The sequence below is a fragment of the Homo sapiens genome, chromosome 3 (genome assembly GCF_000001405.40).
Source record: "Homo sapiens chromosome 3, GRCh38.p14 Primary Assembly".
Taxonomy (NCBI): Eukaryota; Metazoa; Chordata; class Mammalia; order Primates; family Hominidae; genus Homo; species Homo sapiens.
The window spans coordinates 194,835,547-194,855,727 of NC_000003.12; the positions used below are offsets into that span (position 1 = coordinate 194,835,547).

At 48.1% G+C, this 20,181-nt stretch overlaps 1 long non-coding RNA gene across 2 annotated transcripts, besides 1 other annotated feature; it reads right to left on the minus strand.

Annotated features, from left to right (window-relative positions):
• Window positions 4,682-5,881: an enhancer, noted in NCBI's record as "BRD4-independent group 4 enhancer chr3:194560957-194562156 (GRCh37/hg19 assembly coordinates)". NCBI's record gives its function as "activates an origin of replication core promoter dependent on BRD2, P300/CBP, MED14 and CDK7 cofactors, and independent of BRD4, by STARR-seq in HCT116 cells {active_cell/tissue: HCT116}" and the evidence as "EXISTENCE:reporter gene assay evidence [ECO:0000049][PMID:35650434]".
• Window positions 12,655-18,354, minus strand: LOC107986173 (uncharacterized). 2 transcript variants are annotated; one of them, XR_001741086.2, is made up of 3 exons: window positions 16,583-18,354; window positions 16,258-16,472; window positions 12,655-12,735 (listed from the first exon to the last, which is right to left on the minus strand). It is a non-coding gene; the product is annotated as an uncharacterized LOC107986173 (long non-coding RNA). The 2 variants fall into 2 exon arrangements; XR_007096223.1 differs by lacking the exon at window positions 12,655-12,735 and having other exon boundaries at window positions 13,727-16,472.
• Window positions 18,355-20,181: the final 1,827 nt, after the last annotated feature.

Genomic DNA, 20,181 nt, shown 5'->3' on the forward strand with positions numbered 1-20,181 from the left:
TCCCAGCTACACTACAGCCTGGACGACAGAATGAGACTCTGTCTCAAAAAATAAAAATAACAATAAAAATAGAATAATGTCTAAAATGTGAGAATCAGCAGCATTCACTTCCAGGAAGCATCACAGGAATCTGTGGCAGCCTGGTTGGTTATTCCAGACTCACAGGGCCCAGGAGAAAGAAAGGCTTGATGGGAACGGACGCCATGCCCACTTATGAAATGCTGGCTGCTTTTAACATCTGCAAGCACTCAGGCTAGTTTGGAGGGGGGCTGTCTCCCGGCCCCTACCTCCAACTCTTAACCCCCACGCAACCCACTTTCAGAGCTGTCTTCAGGCAAACTGCAAATGTGAGAGACTGATAAACATGTTTCTAGGTCTGGCCTCCCAGGGTGCTTTTCTGTAATCAAAGCCTCAAGCTCCCAGAAGGAAATTCTGCCTGGGGTAAAGAGTTGTTAGAGGAAGGCTCTGTGGAAGGCAGGCTATCAGAGACTGGGTTCATTTTAATAATCCAGAGATGGATTATTATAGCCTTAATTATTCATATGAACCTTGACAACCCAGAGACACCCTTGCAATGACAGCACTGTAAAGAATTCATTCGTTTAACAAATGCTCACCATGCAGCCTCTCCTACAGGTAGCAGCAAATACCAAGTTGGAAAAGGCCAAGTCCCTGCCCTCCAACTCACAGCCCAGTGGAGACGTGGTTCTCAATAGTTGTAAAGCAAAGCAGAGTTAGGTGAGTGAGATGAGAGAGAGAAAACAAAGACGTCTGAGGCACCACGTGGGTTGAGTAAGAAGGCTTCATGGAAAGGTAGCATTTGTGATAGCTCCTGAGAAGTCGGTAGCATTTCTGCAGGCTTGGGAGAGAGAGGAGGCCATTCCAAGCCAAGGAGACAGTCTAGGCAAACACAATGCATCAGGGAAGCTTAAGGCGTGTGGAGGGAGCAGAGACAGGCTGGCTGCATGGTGGGTATAAGAAGCCCAGTGGAGGGAGTTGCCAGATAAGGCATAGCTAGAAAGACATTTGCAGCTGGTACAGAGAGGGATAATACCCGCTGAAGGAGATCAGTAGATAATGGGGAGCCACTAAAGGTTTTAGAGAAGGGGACATGCTCAGAGCTGGGTCTTTGGAAGAGTGACCAGGCTAGCATATGAAGCTAGAGCAGATAGCTAAAGAGGACATATTGAGGGCCTGAACTGATAGGAAAAAACAGAGCGGTTGGAGGGATATAGGACAGAGCTGAAATCTGCACAAGCATATTTTTGAAGTTGTGAATCCCAGCTGGCACAAAACAAAGCCATGATTATGTAGCAAACAAGAAATCCTCAGTCTGTTTGGTGATAGGCCTCTGTTTTCTTTCACCAATGTATTGGGTACCAGTAGCATCAGCACCAGACTTGGACTAAGGGATTCTGGGATTGACTCAAATAGTGGAGAGACCAAGAGAAGAGAATCATGAAGAAATGCTAAGCACTGAAGCCAGAAGGTGGAGGCTGGAGTCCAGGCCAGTAGCTGTGCAGCACATTATTCTCCCTGCTAGGTGCAGCAGTACCTCCTGCACGCACTCCCTTAAGCATCAGGGAATTGGAGCTTCAGGATCCACACAAAGGCCAAGCTTTGCCAGCCTCTGTTAGGGCACAGGCCACTGGTCCTCTGTCTTCAGTACAAACTAAAGTCGTCTCCACCTAGGACAGATTGCATTTCCTCTCAGGACCTCGGTGTGTCTCATTGTAAAATGGAACTACGCAAGGCCCCTTCCACCTCTTACACTTCACGATACTGTGAAAGGGAAGGATAACACAGAGGCCTGTAGAGTCTGTGCTTAAAAGCCAACATAAGTTAGCTGGGACACTTATTCAAAACCGTGAAAAAAGAGATCGCTTGCAGTCAAGGATACATGGAAGTACGAGACAGAAGGTGGTTAAAAGCCAGAGACTAGGTGGTTTCCTCCAGTGGGATGTAGAGCACTGAGAAGGGTACAAACCAGAAAGATGGGAGCATGCCCCGCCAGGGCAGGGGGCCTGGGAATCCGTGGAGTGGGAGCTGGTCCCGCGTGTAGGTGGTTGGGGGAGGGCTGGGGTGGCAGGGAGGGCATGCAGGAGGGGCATGCCTGAGAAGTCAGCTGAAGGCCTGGGCTCCTCTGGTGCTGGCGCTTCCGGGTTTGCAGCTGCACTTCTGGGTGTTTCAGCACACGTCTCTGAATCTAGACTGGGCTGATTTCAAGGAGATGGGTAGGAGGAAGAAATGCACAACCAGGTCTTGCTGAGGAAAAAAAGAGATGTCCATAGTGAGGGCTGTCTGCTCGGATTACAGACAAGGAGCCTTGGGGATGGGAGGATAAGGGCTGACCTCACAGGGACAGAGCCTCTTTTGGGCTGCCCTGAGGCCTCTAAACCACAGCCAGCCATGGAGAGCAGAAGGCTCATCTTTAATTGGTACCAGTTTTTCTGGCAAGCTCAATTTAAAGATTCAGCTCAATTGCAATCAACGGGGTAAGCCAACCAGAAAATCAGAAAATCAGTTGCTCCTCTTGGTGCAATGAGGAGCATCAGCAACCCCAAAGGCATCAGAACATTGGCAGGCCTTCACTGGGGAACAGGGTCTCTGCTCCTCTGTCCTCAGCCTGAACTAAGGTAGTCTCCACCTAGGAGAGCACCTTCCCAGTGCACCCATTCCCCTCGGTGCTCTTGGTAAGGCAACAGCTTTCCGAGCCGTCGTTGAAAGACACTGGGCCGAAGTGAGAAGGCCTGGGTTCTAGTCCTGTGTCTGCTCTACTACCTGCTGGATGGCCGTGGGCAAGTCACTTCTCCTGGCGCTGCAGTTTTCTCATCCTCAAAAGGGAAGGGGAGCAGGGAATAAGCCCTGCTGCACCTACTTTACAGGGTGATTATGAAGCTCAGATAAGATAATGGCTGTAAAAGCTGTTTTTGGACATTACAGGACATTGAGCAGATGCTCCTCTCTCGGGGTAATGGTGATGATGGCAATGATGGTAATGGTGGCTGAGTTACTTTTTATGTGCAACTCCTATAAATATCACACGAAGAGATGAATTCCTGGTTTTAGCGGCCTAACTGTATCCACTTCATTCATCCCTGGGTTCTCACCCTAGCTCTGAGGGATTCATGTGTAGCTTTGTGAGAGAGTTGGAATGGAATGTCTCAGCGCATCCTTCTCCCTCTGCAGAGTCCAGCGGTCCCTCTTACATGTCCTCCTCCAAGCATCAGGAAATTAGACCGTCGGTACCCACATTGAGGTCAAGCTCTCTCTGGTTTCACCTGGAAGAAGGGAGCAGCTGGTGACCTTAAGTCTTTGCAAGGTATCAGGTGCTAAAACCTAGAACATTCTTTTAACACCCCAGCTACCTATCTACTCTTATTCAAGCCAGAAAGAAAGGACTCAAAGAGAGGGCTAGGTAGGTCACACCTCTATCTTGTAGGAGAGTATGACTTTGTGTGTGTTTGTGTGTGTGTGTGTGTGTGTTTACACATATGGTGGGTAAACTTTCATGAATTGCAATTCTGGTTCTGAGAGTCTATATTCTGCCTACCACTTGCCTCTCTCCATAGAATATCCAATAGTCCAAAGGTTATTCTAACTGTTACTATTCAAAATAATGTCCATTTATGCCTATCTTAGATAGAACACTATTTCGCAGAAAAGGAAGCTGAGGCAATGATAAAGTAAGTTGATAATGGTTACTGAGAGATACTCTGGGCTTCAGGGATCATAATCCCTAATCACCAACTTCTCAGACCTTTTCTGAACACACAGAGGAGCCAGTGCCCTTGTCTGAAGTGAGCTTGCAGCCTGGTCCTAGGTGCAGACGGCTGCTGTTTGCTGTGGAGCAATGGAGCAGGAGGAAGGGAGCGAGGCGGGCTCCCTCGCCAGTCTTAGAATCTTAGAATCTTAGAGCTGGATGGATCACTGGGTTTCAAGGGACCTGCAATGTGCTTACCACCAGAAACATTTCAAAAGCCATACTTCATGCTGGCCTACATTTAGAACAATTTTGTATGAAGAAAACTAAATATGTTAAAAATTTCTTTTCCTGTGATTTATTAAAGAAATATATGGGCCAGGCACGGTGGCTCACACCTGTAATCCCAGCACTTTGGGAGACCAAGTCGCAGATCACGAGGTCAGGAGATCGAGACCATCCTGGCTAACACGGTGAAACCCCGTCTCTACTAAAAATACAAAAAATTAGCCAGGCGTGGTGGTGGGCGCCTGTAGTCCCAGCTACTCGGGAGGCTGAGGCAGGAGAATGGTGTGAACCTGGGAGGCGGAGCTTGCAGTGAGCAGAGATCGCGCCACTGCACTCCAGCCTGGGTGACACAGCGAGACTCAGTCTCAAAAAAAGAAAAAAGAAAAAGGAAAAAAGAAATATACGGCTGTTGATAGGGGTTTCTAATGAACACGAGAGTCCCAATTTATGACATCTACACAATGCTAGTCAAAAGCAATGGAGTTGGGCTCTTTAGTCAACTCAGCCCCTTCGTTGTGAAATGTACATTTTCATCAGGCTATTTGGAATCACAGAAACCATTGCTATCTTTGAGGATTTCTGGTAGACTAGGGCCCAAAAGTTAGAGCTTCTGGACTAGACTGACTATGAGCATTTTACAGACAAGGAAAGTGGAGCCCAGAGGGAAAAGCAGCTTGTCCAAAGCCACACAGAGCATCAGTAGCAGGTCTGGGACTAGAAGCAGGTCTCCCATTCGCTTCCCTGGGTCCTTTCTTCAGCACTTGGACACCCGTTAGTTCTTAAGCTGGAAAGCAGGAGAAGCACATAGGACCCTTTCACAGAACCTCAGCTGTCTGGACCTGCTGATGCTTTTACAGATCCAGACCTAAGCAGGAATGGGGAGTGACAGCTTATCGCTCCCGCCATAGTGAGAGGTGAAGCCGGCTGGGCTTCTGGGTCAGGTGAGGACTTGGAGAACTTTTCTGTCTAGCTAAGGGATTGTAAATGCACCAATCAGCGCTCTGTGTCTAGCTAAAGGTTTGTAAACACACCAATCAGCACTCTGTAAAAACGCACCAATCGGCACTCTGTGTCTAGCTAATCAGGTGGGGACCTAGAGAACTTTTCTGTCTAGCTAAAGATTGTAAATACACCAATCAGCACTCTGTAAAAACACACCAATCAGCGCTCTGTAAAATGGACCAATCAGCTCTCTGTAAAATGGACCAATCAGCTCTCTGTAAAATGGACCAATTAGCAGGATGTGGGTGGGGCCAAATAAGGGAATAAACGCAGGCCACCCGAGCCGGCATCGGGAATCCAGTCGGGTCCCTTTCCAGGCTCAGTAAGCTGTGTTCTTTTGCTCTTGGCAGTAAATCTTGCTGCTGTTCACGCTTTGGGTCCACACTACCTTTAAGAGCTGTAACATTGACTGTGAAGGTCTGCGGCTTCACTCCTCAAGTCAGCAAGACCACGAACCCACCAGAAGGAAGAAACTCCGGACACACCATCTTTAAGAACTGTAACACTCACCTCGAGGGTCTGTGGCTTCATTCTTGAAGTCAGAAAGAACAAGAACCCACCAATTCCAGACACAATAGAATCCAAGTTCTGCCAAGTGTGGTAACACCCAGCTCACGAATGACTGCGACTCTTATCTTCGAGGTGACTCATCCTGGCAGCAGAATGAGCTCCGGCCAAAGGCACAGTGACATCCTAAAGCCCGCCCTCACTGTCTCTCTCCATCTCATGTTTAGCCAGAAAAGGCAAAAGCCAGTCCTTTCGTGAAATCAAACAGGCAAGTATCCCTCAGGGCTCTCTTGGCTCTGGCTAAAGTTGCTGGGACTCACGGGTTAGAAGAGACCCTACAGAGGCTTGTTACAGAGGCCTATCACCGAGGAAACACAGAACACTGGTAATGTAGGAGCCATGGGGCATTTGCTGCACAAGGTGAATTCTGTTTTACTGTTTAAACGATGGCACTGCGATATCTTTGATCTTTTTTCTTCCTCAGGGAAGTGGGTGATGGAAATGTCGGTTCTTTGTTATTGTAAGTTAAACTGCCTTTGGCTAAGCCCTGTGGTAACCCTGCTACTGTGCGGTAGGGCACTCACACCTCTGGTGTCTCATCATTAGGTCTTAATTCTGACATTATACATGCCCATGCTCCTTCCTGCAGAGATGTGAGAAAACCAGAAGCTTTAAAAAATCAAGTAAGTTTAAATTTGGGGCTCCCCAAGTCAACCTTCCAGGTAAATTCTCCTTTGTTAATGACACACTGTGCAGACAGCAGGCCTCATCCATTCCTTCAATAAACATTGAGTGGTGCTGCGAATCCAGGCTTTGTGTGAGGACCCGGGAATGAATGAGTGGGTGAGTGAGTGGTGAGTGAATGAATGAGCAAGTACCATCGTCTGTCTTGGGGGCACCTCCACACCACCCTTTTCATTCCCAGTTACACTTGAAATTCTTTGTCGAATGTCTGTTTCCCATTAGAACATTAGCCCATGAGTGCAAGGACTATTTGTCTCATTTATCACTCTGAGCCCAGCCCCAGGCACATCCATATTTGTTAAATGAAGGATGGTTAGTTGGATGACAGGATGGATTGGTGAACAAATGATCAAATAAACGAATAGGTGAGATATAGTGGGTTTCACCAAATATTTTTCATGTCCTTATTTATTCATTTTTATGTATTTTCACTCTCCTCTATTCATTTTTTTGATAGCTTGCTTTATTCCAGAAAGGATTTGAGGCAACTTCATCAGAAGTGAAAGTTTTAATTTTGGGTTCCAAAGAAAACATTTCAGAATGTGTTGCCAAATCTTAGCTCATCATAATTTGGAATTGGACAACATTCCTGAGCACGTGTCCCAGGCAAGGTGGGCCATGGAGGGACCATAATGCATGACCATGCCCTCCAGCTGCTTTGAGTGTAGCGGAGGAAAAGCCACATACCGGGGGGACAGCAGTTCATGGGGGAATGAAGGGATTCAGCCAAGGAACACCTATTGCAGTAGAAGCAAAGAGGAAGAACGAACATTTCATCTGACCTTGTCTTATTTTTGCTTATCCCCATTGTGCTGGTCATTCAGCAAGCACTTGATATTTTTCCATGAGATTTTATTGACACGGGAAATTAGGTGCCACTAAGACAAAGATTTATTTTCTTGGTGTCTATGCAAACTACCTACTTCAGTTGCCCATTTTGCTAGAAGTCAATTGGGCAGAAATGAACATATTTCGGGCATTATTTTGATTATTTTTTGTTGTAAACCACAGTAAGCACCAATGACATGTCAGGCTATGGTCTAGGTGCTAGACTGGTGTTAAAAAGATCTCAGTCTAGGGTAGACAAAAGAGATGATCATAACACAGTGTGGTAAGAGTAGTGACTGAGGTCAATGCCTGAGGTGCTGTGGGGGGAAAGAAGAGTATGCTTAACCTGGAGTGGGGCTTCAAGGAAGCTTCTTTAAAAACCCGTGGGGCTGGCTGGGCATAGTGGCTCATGCCTGTAATCCCAGCACTTTGGGAGGCCGAGGTGGGCGGATCACGAGGTCAAGAGATCGAGACCATCCTGGCCAACATGGTGAAACCCAGTCTCTACCAAAAATACAAAAATTAGCTGGGCATGGTGGTGCGCGCCTGTCGCCCCAACTACTCAGGAAGCTGAGGCAGGAGAATTGCTTGAACCCGGGAGGCAGAGGCTACAGTGAGCTCAGATCACACCATTTCATTCCAGCCTGGCGACAGAGCAAGACTCTGTCTCAACAAACAAACAACAACAAAAAAACAGTGGGACTTAGCTGAGAGAAGAAAGCGGAAGGCGGTGGGAAGGATGTTCCAGATATAGAGAACCCTCTAGAACCCAGACCTCAGGGCCATGAGAGGGCTCAGCATGTTTGGAAAACCATGAGTCATTCTGTCTGGCTTTGACGTGGAGTGTGCAGGATTATGGAGAGATTGAGATGAAAAGCCGGAGAGGTTAGGCATGTACTAGATAATGAGTGACTTTATGCGTTGTACAAAGAAGTTCAGGTTTTATTTCAAATATAACAAGGAAGCAGACACTACAGGATTTTTAGACAGGAGAGTGACACGATCAAATACGCGTTCTAGAGAGATCTCTCTGGGTATGATGCAGAGAGTGGCTGAAAAAGGGAAACGCTGGTGGCAGGGAGATGAGTTAGGAGACTGTGACACTGCAGCGGGAAGATGTCAGACCTGGATTATGACAGTGGGAATGGGGAGGATGAATGATGCAATCTGATTGCAGAAATATCTGTGAAAACCGTAGAAACTACTCAAGAAGGAAGCCAGCCATGGGCCTTTTGGTTTTTCATTGAAACGACTCTTTGCCAGTATCTGCATTTCATCAACCTTTGCTGCTAGAATCTAATTTTTTTCACGGGGTTTGAGAACACTCTCATAGATGCAAGAAAAAAACCCACCCCTAAGGATGACTTCAAACAAATCAAAGCTTTTTCTTTTAAGTACATCCATCAAAAGCGGAACCTTTTCACCCCAGGCTTTTAGCAGGAAGATTTTTCTCTGTGTTTTCTTAATGAGCAGGGGTAAGGTGATGGCAATTTTGCAGCTCAGATCTACTTGAAATTGCTCCTTCAAAGAGCCAAGGATCCTGGTCACTGGCCTAAAACTACACGACAGTGGTTCTCAAGCCTACTGTACCTGGGTCACCTGAAGGGCTTTTAATACCCTCAGTGGGCAGGCCACACCCCTGGTCAAGCACTTCAGAGAGCGCCTCTGGGGACTGAGCCCAGGCATCAGTGTTTGTTAAAACTTCCAGGTGGGTTGGGCATGGTGGCTCACATCTGTAATCCTAGCACTTCGGGAGGCCAAGGTGGGCAGATCATCTGAGGTCAGGAGTTTGAGACCAGCCTGGCCAACATGGCAAAACCCTGTCTCTACTAAAAATACAAAAATTAGCCAGGCGTGGTGGCACAAGCCGGTAATTCCAGTTACTTGGGAGGCTGAGGCAGGAGAATCACTTGAACCCAGGAGGCGGAGGTTGCAGTGAGCTGAGATCCAGCCACTTCACTCCAGCCTGGGCAACAGAGTGATACTCCATCTCAAAAAAAAAAAAAAAAAAAAAAACAAACAACAACAAAAAACCCTCCCAGGTGATTCCTGGTGCAGCCAAGCTTGAGAACTACTGAAGGAGAGAAGAGCTGCTAACCCCCGCCCCATATCAACCACGTAAAACGAACTTACTACACCTCTTGGGAGAGGTATACTGGGGTCATGAAAGGGAAGGCTCGGTTCTCTTACTCCATAAAAGCATGATTTGATTTAAAATTTCCTAAGAAATTTAATCTTCCTAAAATTTTCAAGAAGATAAAAACTTTAAATAACAGAATCACCTGAAAGCAAGATAAGAAGAGATTTGAAAGATCCACGGTCCATTTCTTGACTCTAGCTTGCCTGTGTGCACTGAAGCTGTCTGCCTCAGATAGGCCCCAGCCTCTGCTAATCTGGAGGCAATCCCTAGACAGGAAGGAGGAGTCCAGGTCAACCTGCAGCCCTCACCACCAGGGCCTGCTCACCGATTCCGGGGTGAGCTTGGAAACTCTCTACATTTTCCATTCAAGTGTTTCAACGGCACGAAGAAAGACCCCAAACCTGGGGCAGAGCCTGAAACAGCCCATAGAATCGAGTTCCGTTCTCCCCCTAAACAATTATGCTTAACTTGTTCTCTCTTCCTTAATATATCAATGTTGATTTTAATGTAAAACTAATGCCTACGAATCACCAAATTGGACCTCAAGAAGATGGCCCATATTTATTTCTGTGGCTTCTAGCACCCACTGATGCCCTGGTGTACACACTGGAGATGATGATGATGACAGTGATGGTGATGGTGAGTACTGTGAACATAGCCTGGGCTGGAGTTAATGATGATGGTGACGGTGATGGTGATGGTGAGTACTGTGAACATAGCCTGGGCTGGAGTTAATGATGATGATGACGGTGATGGTGAGTTCTGTGAACATAGCCTGGGCTGGAGTTAATGATGAAGATGACGGTGATGGTGAGTACTGTGAACATAGCCTGGGCTGGAGTTAATGATGATGATGACAGTGATGGTGATGGTGAGTTCTGTGAACATAGCCTGGGCTGGAGTTAATGATGATGATGACGGTGATGGTGAGTTCTGTGAACATAGCCTGGGCTGGAGTTCATGATGATGACGGTGATGGTGAGTATTGTGAACATAGCCTGGGCTGGAGTTAATGATGAAGGTGACGGTGATGGTGAGTATTGTGACCATAGCCTGGGCTGGAGTTAATGATGATGGTGACAGTGATGGTGATGGTGAGTACTGTGAACATAGCCTGGGCTGGAGTTAATGATGACGGTGATGGTGAGTATTGTGAACATAGCCTGGGCTGGAGTTAATGATGAAGATGACGGTGATGGTGAGTATTGTGACCATAGCCTGGGCTGGAGTTAATGATGTTGATGACGGTGATGTTGAGTATTGTGACCATAGCCTGGGCTGGAGTTAATGATGAAGATGACGGTGATGGTGAGTACTGTGAACATAGCCTGGGCTGGAGTTAATGATGATGATGACAGTGATGGTGATGGTGAGTTCTGTGAACATAGCCTGGGCTGGAGTTAATGATGATGATGACGGTGATGGTGAGTACTGTGAACATAGCCTGGGCTGGAGTTCATGATGAAGATGACGGTGATGGTGAGTACTGTGAACATAGCCTGGGCTGGAGTTAATGATGATGATGACGGTGATGGTGAGTACTGTGAACATAGCCTGGGCTGGAGTTAATGATGATGACGGTGATGGTGAGTATTGTGAACATAGCCTGGGCTGGAGTTAATGATGAAGATGACGGTGATGGTGAGTATTGTGACCATAGCCTGGGCTGGAGTTAATGATGATGGTGACAGTGATGGTGATGGTGAGTACTGTGAACATAGCCTGGGCTGGAGTTAATGATGATGACGGTGATGGTGAGTATTGTGAACATAGCCTGGGCTGGAGTTAATGATGAAGATGACGGTGATGGTGAGTATTGTGACCATAGCCTGGGCTGGAGTTAATGATGTTGATGACGGTGATGGTGAGTATTGTGACCATAGCCTGGGCTGGAGTTAATGATGATGGTGATGGTGATGGTGAGTATTGTGAACATAGCCTGGGCTGAGATGCACCTGTGTAGTGGAAAGTGCATGGGAGTTGGAGCCAGAAAGTCTTGGCTTTGAACACTAGCTGTGGCATTTACAAATTGGCCTTGGAAAATCTGCTTAATATCTTGGAGACTGTTTATTTGTAAAATTGGACAATGACCTCCAATTCAAGTTTGTTACAAGGATTAGATATATTCCACATACCTGGCATCTGATGGACAATAAATACTAGAGACTACCATTATAGAATTCCCTAATATCTGCTAAAGCATCTTTTGCCATAAGATGGAGACCAGGCAGATGATGTTCTCTGCTTCACGTGAGTGACCCTCTCAACTGGAATCCTCCCTTGGGCTCTACGTCCCCAGAGCACAGCCCCGCTGAGGGCCAGGTCCATCCAGAGCAGCTCTCTTAGATGAGCGCACTGTAAAATCACCTCTAACATGGCTGGCGCATAGAGTGGCTCAACCAAATGCGTTGAATGATGGTCACTAATAGGAAGATACACAATGTCTTGTTTTCCTGTGGCACTGTGAGAGTGCCACACTGAGGGTGAGGCCTAGTATGAAGACAGCAGGTAACTGAGCACCCCGACATACCATGGGCGCTTGGGTCACAAGCCCTGGGAACCCAGTGGCGCCTCTGCAGCTCCTAGGCTCCATCCTCTTTCACTGCTAAGCACCGGGAGCACTCTGGAAAACAGAATCCTGTACCAGGAGAGAGTGGCTGGCATTTTTGACTGCTCTCATGCTGCCTGGGATTTTTCCTATCTCAAGGTGTCTTCTCTACAGAGTGCAGATGCCTGGCGAGCAAAGGCAGGGTCTCTCTGGATTAAGGAGGGGAGGAACATAACTCTGAACAGCAGCCATTCACCCCAGCTCCGTGGCTACAACCTAGGAGAACCTGGGGAGACTGTGGAGTGGCTCTTCAAGGCATGGCAAAGGAGGGTGGCCACATGCATACAGAACATTTAGGACCGGGTGCCCCACACGGCTGCATGCCCCCAGGGGTGTTGCACATGGCTGAGATCCTATTGATCACAGATGCCCTGGGGTCTTGGTGACAGATGGAGCTAAAATCTTTCAAGAGTTCCATGGAGAAGGGGGAAGGAAGAGGTAATGACCTCTCCCCCTCCTGCCTGGGCTATAGTTGTATGACAGAATGGATTCCAGTCCCACTTCTACGGCATGGTGGCTGTGTGGTCTTGGACAAGGTACTCGATCTTTCTATGCCTTTTGTTTCTCAGGTATAAGATAGTATTGATCATATCAGCAAACTCATGGGATGGGTGGGGTTCAGAAATAGTCCTTTTAAAGCCCTTCACTCCACAGGCCACACACAGCCTGGCCTGCAGGAAGTGTTTACCCAAGGCTAGTCCTGTTTATGGGGTTCCCCTGGCCTGGAACCCTTGCCCCTGTCTCCCAGCAAACTCTTCCTCAGCTTTCAGACTCCAAGCAAAATCTCCCTTTTGTGATGCACTCCATGGCTCCTGCAGAAATGTCCTCCTCTTGTAGCCCCCAGAGGCCTCTGTTGTCATCCCTTCAGCAAGCGTTGACTGAGTAGAAGCTGGATATCAGTGACCGGGTTAAATGCTGTGGGGAAGAATAAGGTTAAAATAAAAATTGTCAGGCCGGGCGCGGCGGCTCACACCTGGAATCCCAGCACTTTGGGAGGCCAAGGCGGGCGGATCACGTGGTCAGGAGTTCCAGACCAGCCTGGCCAACATAGTGAAACTCTGTCTTTACTAAAAATACAAAAAATTAGCCGGGCATGGTTGCATGCACCTGTGATCCCAGCTACTCCGGAGGCTGAGGCAGGAGAATCGCTTGAACCCAGGAGGCGGAGGTTGCGGTGAGTGGAGATTGCACCGTTGCACTCCAGCCTGACGGAGCAAGACTCCGTCTCAAAACAAACATAAAAATAAATTAAAAAGTAAAGTAAATAAAAAAACAAAAACTGCCCTTTCCCTCAAGGAGGTCATACTCTGGTGGTGAAAGAGGCATGAAACAATTGCAATCCATATGAAAACTGCCACCATGGAGTTGCATGCACGGTTTTGGCAGTGCCGGTGAGGAGTGGCGCCGTGAGAGTGCTGATGATTTGCTTTGTGGTCTTTTTTCCACAGGTCTGTTTTCCTGGCTAGACTTTGAGGTGCTCAAGAGTGGACACGTTCGTCTTTATGTCCTTCACTGTGCTTAGCACCATGTCATCCATGTTCAATAAATGGGTGTTGCCCATAAATGCAAGAACAAACTAACAAATGATACTCTACAGCAACGATGGGGTCTTTGGCACATCTGCAGGGCCTGAGGCCTAGGCTCTGTTTTAGGGTGATGCACATTTAATGGAGACCCACTCTGCACCCCCAGCAGATTTCTTGAGCTTTATGCAACCGCTGTGGTCCTGATGACACTGTGAATCACATGTCTAAGTCTCATCTCATCTTCCTCATCTATACAGGTGATAGTGATCATCATCGCTGCTCTGTCTAACTCACAGTGTTGGGAGGTTCAAATAATGTTAACCGTGGAGGGTGTCCAGGTTCTTGGCATCTTGAACAAAGAATTGGACAAAACTCACAAACAAAGGAAAGAATGAAGGGTTTTATTGAAAATGAAAGCACGCTCCACAGTGTGGGAGTGGGCCTGAGTGTAGGGGCTCAAAGGCCCTGTTTACAGAGTTTTTATGAGTTTAAATACCCTCTACTTGGAGTACGCTCTATGTAAACAAAGAGGGTGAAGTAAAGTTACAAAGTCATTTAGTCGGTGTATGCCCTATGGAGAGGGTATCTTATGTTTCCTGCCTCCAGACCCTATTTTCCTGCCTCAATAGGATTCACTCATTCAACAAATATTCTCTGAGGGTAGCATTTTACTTTTTTCATGTAACACATGCCTCACCAGGAGAAGGCAAAGTCTGAAGAATGCTGGATCCAGATGAAAAGGCAGAGTGATTTCAGAGAAACGATAATGAGCTGACAAGGCTGGAATGTTACTTCCCCAGACAAGACCAGTGTCATCAAGAAGGCCTTGGGGCTCTGCACAGGAGTCCCTGCTTTCCTTCTTCTGGCTGAAGCCACTCTTCAGCATGAACTTGATAGACTCTTGTTGTAGGTTTTAGGTTTTAGAAGAGAATTGAAGTGTCAGCTCTTCTAAGGTGTGAATATAGTGAAGGACCTCATTGGGAGTTCTTTCCAAAGCGTATCTGTTTCCTCTTTTTTGTCTTCATTTTTCGGGGGAAAAAAAAGGAAGAGATAGAGAAGAAAAGGAGGAAAGAAAAGAAGGTAGGAAGGGAGAAAGGAGGGAGGGAAGGAATTTGTTGCGTCTAAGAGAACCAGTCATCAACAGAGCAACAAATACTGACTGAGTGTCCATATGTAATGGGCAATGGGCTGAATTCCCGGGGAGGGAGTGAAGGAGTGGGGATGGTGGGCAAGAAATGAATCTGATCCAACTACTGCTTTCAGTAAATTCACATTAATTTAGAGCCAGACAAGATATAAAAATACATAGCTCTCATATGAGAGAGACAGAGCTACTTTATCTACATCTATCTTCTTATTTAGACTGTGCTTTGTGCCAGAAAGTGTTAATACATAAAACATAACAAGGGAACATAATTTAAAAGAAGGAATAAAAGGAAAAAATAAGGGTAAGGGCATAAAAAAGGGGCCAGGAATGAGACTAAACTACGAGAACCATAAATATACATATAATGAGGGTGAACCCCAAATTTGACTCCAAGCTTTCTAACAGCTTCCAGGACAGGAAAGCCTGGGAAAAGGCCCAGTTCCTGGTGTCCATAAAACAAAAACTGACCAGTTGCTCAGGAGTGGTTTGGGCATCTCTCCCGAGGGTCCTAATTGAGAGAGCGCTGCGTGATGAAATGAGCCATGTCCCCCTAACACCTCTCCACAAAGGTCCTCACAGGGCGATGTCTTATGATGCCTCTCAGTGTAGGTGTATGGCTTTCCTCCTCCCCACCCCACTGCAGGGGTACAGCACAGAGTAACATGTGGTATCGGATTAGGACACTGAGCATTATTTATTTATTTATTTATTTATTTTTGAGACAGAGTTTTGCTCTGTTGCCCAGGCTGGAGTGCAGCGGCACAATCTTAGCTCACTGCAACTTCTGCCTCCTGGGTTCAGGTTCAAGTGGTTCTCCTGCCTCAGCCCCCTGAGTAGCTGGAATGTCAGGTGTGTGCCACCATGCCCGGCTTTTTTTTTTTTTTTTTTTTTTTTTTTTTTTTTTTTTTGAGACAGAGTCTCACTCTGTCACCCAGGCTGGAGTGCAATGGTGCAGTCTCGGCTCACTGCAGCCTTCGCCTCCTGTGTTCAAGCGATTCTCCCGCCGCAGCCTCCCGAGTAGCTGGGATTCTGCAGGCACGTGCCACCACACCCGGCTAATTTTTGTATTTTTAGTAGAGATGGGGTTTCACTATGTTGGCCAGGCTGGTCTCGAACTCCTGACCTCAAGGGATCCACCTGCCTTGGCCTCCCAAAGTGCTGGGATTACAGGTGTGAGCCACCATGTCTGGCCAGGGCACTGAGCATCTTGAAAGGGAGAAATGCTGGCCAGTTCAGAGATAGAGGGAAGGGGTCAGATTTGGACAAGTGGAGAGAGGTTGGGGTGAGGGAGAGCATGCTAAGTGAGCAAAGGCAGGTTGCGCAGGGCTCAAAGAATAGCAAATATTTGGTGACATAAGACTGCCCTTTTCCTCCTCTCTGCCTCCATGAGCAGGAGTCAAAAGGGCGCCCTAGGACTCTGCGTGCTCCTGTCTTGGCAGGAGCCCAGCCTCTCCAGAGGGAAAGTCTAGGCCTTTATTGCAGAGTGGCCACAGGAGGACTGAGGCAGCTGTGTTTACAGCAGTGGTCTCAACTAGAGGCAGCTCTGCCCCAGGGATATTTGGCAATGTCTAGAGGCGGCTGCCAATTGTCACAGTTGGAGAGGAGGCGCTGGTGGCATCAAGTGGGTAGAGGCCAAGGATGCTGCTAAACATCCTACAATGCACAGGCCCCAAATGTTAGTTGTAGAGGTTGAGGAACCCCGGGTTAGGGACAATCCTTAAGATGATGATGGTGATGACCACGCAGGATGGTGATTCCACTTACCCACGCTGCCAGTGACAGGACTCTCACCCATTTCCTCCCATGACCCCCACGCAATGTGGACGGTCACGATGGAAGAGGAGGTTGAAGCCTGGAGAGCAGGAGTGACTTATTCAAGATATGTTTGAAGCTGGAGTGTTTGTTTCTTCTCACTTCTCCTCCTCTTCCTCCTCCTTCTTGGCCGTCAGTGTCTGACTGATCCTTCCCTCCACAGCCTCCTATGTTGGGAGAATTTCCTAATGTACAAATCTAGAAGCTGAACAGGACAGACAACTCACTTACCCCATGTTCCTTGAGGCCTAAGTGTGGGCCAGTGAGCCTTACTCACCTCCAACTTTGAATCAGGAGCCAGTGACGGCAGTGAAGCTGGGACAGGGGCAAATTCTTTCCAGCCACTGTGGTGGTAGTGGTGACGGTGGTGATGGTGGTGGTGGTGATGATGGTGGTGGTGGTGGTGGCAGCAATGATGGTGGTGGCAGCGACATCCAGCATCCACCATGGGCAATATCGGAGGTGCCTGCTGAGCTCTCTGGGCTTTGTCAGGGAGAAGGCGGCAGCCCTGTCTCTGGGCTGGTTCTGTGGCTGTGGTTCCAGCTGCACGGGAACCTTTTGTTTCTTTTAGTTTTCCAGTCCTGCGGGCCAGCCGCCTTGTGAGCTACGTGATACCCTTTCACAGCATTCCTTCTTAGCTCCTATCAGCCGGAATCAGGTTTTGTGGCCTTCAGTGAAGAACCGTCACTGACGCGCTCTGTGCATGGCCTTGGGCTTCTCCGGAGCTCATTCTTGCTTCGGGCGTTCACCCTCTATAGAGCTCAGACGTAAAGTGAACGGGGTCCGTGCGGGGTCCAGTCAGAGTCTCAGCTACTGCTCAGGAGCGCTCGCCTCCTCCACGAGGCTCTCGGTGCATTCGTGTCCTCCAGCTCCTTCTTCCCTTAGGGCGAGTGCTCTCTGAGAGGCTTCTCTGCTCCCCTGCCCTGATGCCCTCCTTGGGCCATTGCTTTCTAGTTTGCCAGATGAACCCAGGTATGTATGAGTTCTTCCTGTGGATACAACTTGAATTTCCTTCCCAGAAGCCATGTTAACCCCCACAACACCTTCATTCCTAAGATCCCCCGTCTTAGGCTGGGACCATTCATTACGGCATGTGAATTTGCTGCTGCAGCCGAGCAGGGATGGGGACAGTGCAGTCACCTGGCAGCTCAGCCCCAGACCGCTGCTCAGAGAGGCCAGCAGCCTGTGGTTGCCGAGGAGACCATAGAGGGAGCTTCCAATCTGCTGGGAACGCCGGGGCTCCTTCTCAGCCCCAAAGGGAAGCCCAGCAAGGTTCAGATGAGTGGCACTCTATGCCTGGAGACTTGCACCCACTTCTCAGTGAGCTCCGAGAGTCGTGTGGCCTGCCTGTCCCCTGGAGCAGGTGGAGTCGTATTTCTTGTGGGCACTGGGACCTGGCATGCAGCCACAGGCTGTGGAAGGCAGTATGACACCAAATCCTTCCCTTGTGATACCCAGGCCACAGAGACAGAACAGGAAAGACAAGCTCCGGGAGCCCTGGGGAGGGGCTCAAGGACATCCCCCGGGCCATAAGCCTGGAGGGAGGTGCCTCCACCCCTGCCCGTCCGACAGACAGCCCATCAGCTCTGAGCTGCAGAAAAGCCAAGGCAACCCTGGCAGGGTCTGCGTTTACTTCTTTCACTTGCTTCTGCTCGGGGTGGAGGAGTGGGACTGGGGAGGCCAGCGGAGCCTTCCAATTCCTCCCCAGGGCAGAGGGGGAATGGAAGTCCTGGCGGTGGAGCTGGAGCTCCGCATCCTCCTGGCCCTGCTCAGTGGCTGTGGTGAGGGCCCCATTCTAGCCTGTGGTGAGGCCTTTCTTCCCTCCTGAAGTTCCCCCTAAAGCTAGTTCTCTTCGTTTCTCTCATTAACGGGTTCTCCCTTTTCACGTCGAGATAATTAGAAATGGCTTTCCCACCCATCCCAGATACATCTAAAAAGATGTTTGATGCAGCCTTGGGAAATCGTTGTATTGTCTTTGGTATGCCGACTTGTGAATATTTATAAGGGCAAATCTGGTTGGGAGCGGTGGCTCGTGTCTGTAATCCCAGCACTTTGGGAGGTCAAGGCCGATGGATCACTTGAGCTCAGGAGTTTGAGACCAGCCTGGCAAACATGGTGGAACCCCGTCTCCACTAAAAATACAAAAGTTAACCAGGCTTGGTGGTGCACACTTATAATCCCAGCTACTTGGAGGTTTGAGGCAGGGGGATCTCTTGAACATGGGAGACGGAGGTTGCAGTGAGCTGAGATTGTGTCACTGCACTCTTGCCTTTGCGACAGAGTGAAACTCCGTCTCACACACACAAAAAATATGGTCAAATCTATTAATCCTTGCCTTTATTGTAACTGCTTTTTCATGCCAAGAAAGGCTTCCCTTGTCTCAAGATTACATTAACTGTCTCTATGTTTTCTTATGTTTCTCTTCTGAAACCAGCTGGAATTAATATTGGTCCACAGAGTGAGATGGAGATGGAACATTATTTTTTCCTAAACAGCCGTTTGCCCCAGGCCTGCTGGTTGATTTCTCCTTTCTTCACTGATTTGCTATGTCAACTTGTAATAAAAGAACATTCTTATGTGTTCTTGGACTTTATTGTCTGGCTGCGTGTATTGATGTGTTTCTTTGTTTTGGCATCATTTGTTTCAGGGACATTTGCGAAGTCAAAGCAAAACACAACTGCTTTAACTAGTTGGGCTTCTTTGCAAGGCTGTACAATAAAAACCATCAGCTGTTGAGAATGCGACAGGGGTTGTTGGGGGTAGAGGGTGGCCTGGCACGGTGGGTGACAACTACTAGTCCTCCCCTGCTCGGCCAGCTTGAAGAGCGGTGACAAAAATGTCAGGCAGAAAGCCAGAGGAGGCCAGGCTGGGAGGACTTGGAGAAATCACCTTCTGGCCCAAGCTTTTTACTTCCCAGCTATGGCACCTGAGGCCCAGAGAGGATAAACAAGGTCCCCTGTGGTGGAACTTGGATAGGAACTCAAAGGGATCGTCCCCTGAGCTGTTTGTCCTGCATGCCTCTCTAGTTCTTGCCCTTTTCGCTGTCACCTGGCCAGCGACCTTGGCTTTAGCATGCCTCTCTCTGGTCTCCATCTCCTGTCTGGTTGACAGAACCCCTCAGGGTGAGGTTTATGTCACTTCTCTATTAAAAATCCTGGCTCAGTGATTCCCCACTGAAGTCAAACCCAGCCTGATGTTTAAGGTTTTTCACACTCTGGCACCCAGCTAAATGATCTCATTTTTCTCTTACATAATTTGTTAGCTCCAACCAGACAGACAGACACTGTCAGGTCCTGTATATTTCCCTCTGAACCCCTAATTGCCCTTCCTCTTCCTGGATTACCACCAAACCACACCCACTCTTCAAAGCCTAGTCCAAAGGTTAGCAAAGTTCTCCCAGTTCCTGAAAGATTAAGTCGGTTGCCCAAATTTCTCTTCCTCCATGGTGCCCAGGCCAGAAGACGTCTCTCCTTCCCCCGGAAGACACATTTCCATGGAGGCACCGCTTTTCAGGCATGTAACACTCTTTGCCTTTGTTGTCTGGCTGCTTCCTAGATTGTGCCCTCCTTGGGGACAGAAGCTGCCTTTCACATGTGTATCTTCTGTAGCACCTTGCGTTGTAGGTGCTAAATAATACATAATATAATATGCAGTATGTGCGAAATGATATAGGACAAGTAAATAAATAAAACATTTCCCCTCCCTACCACTCTCAGAACCTTTTATTACTTCTCATGAATTAGGATGAAATGTATTCCCAGGTTCCTGAATGACTTAATAAGCTCACCAAAGCACTGTAGATTTTTAGAGAGTTAGGGAAAGGAGTTGATGTACAGAATTGCAAATGCAATTCTATTTTCAAAAAGAGAGAGAAGA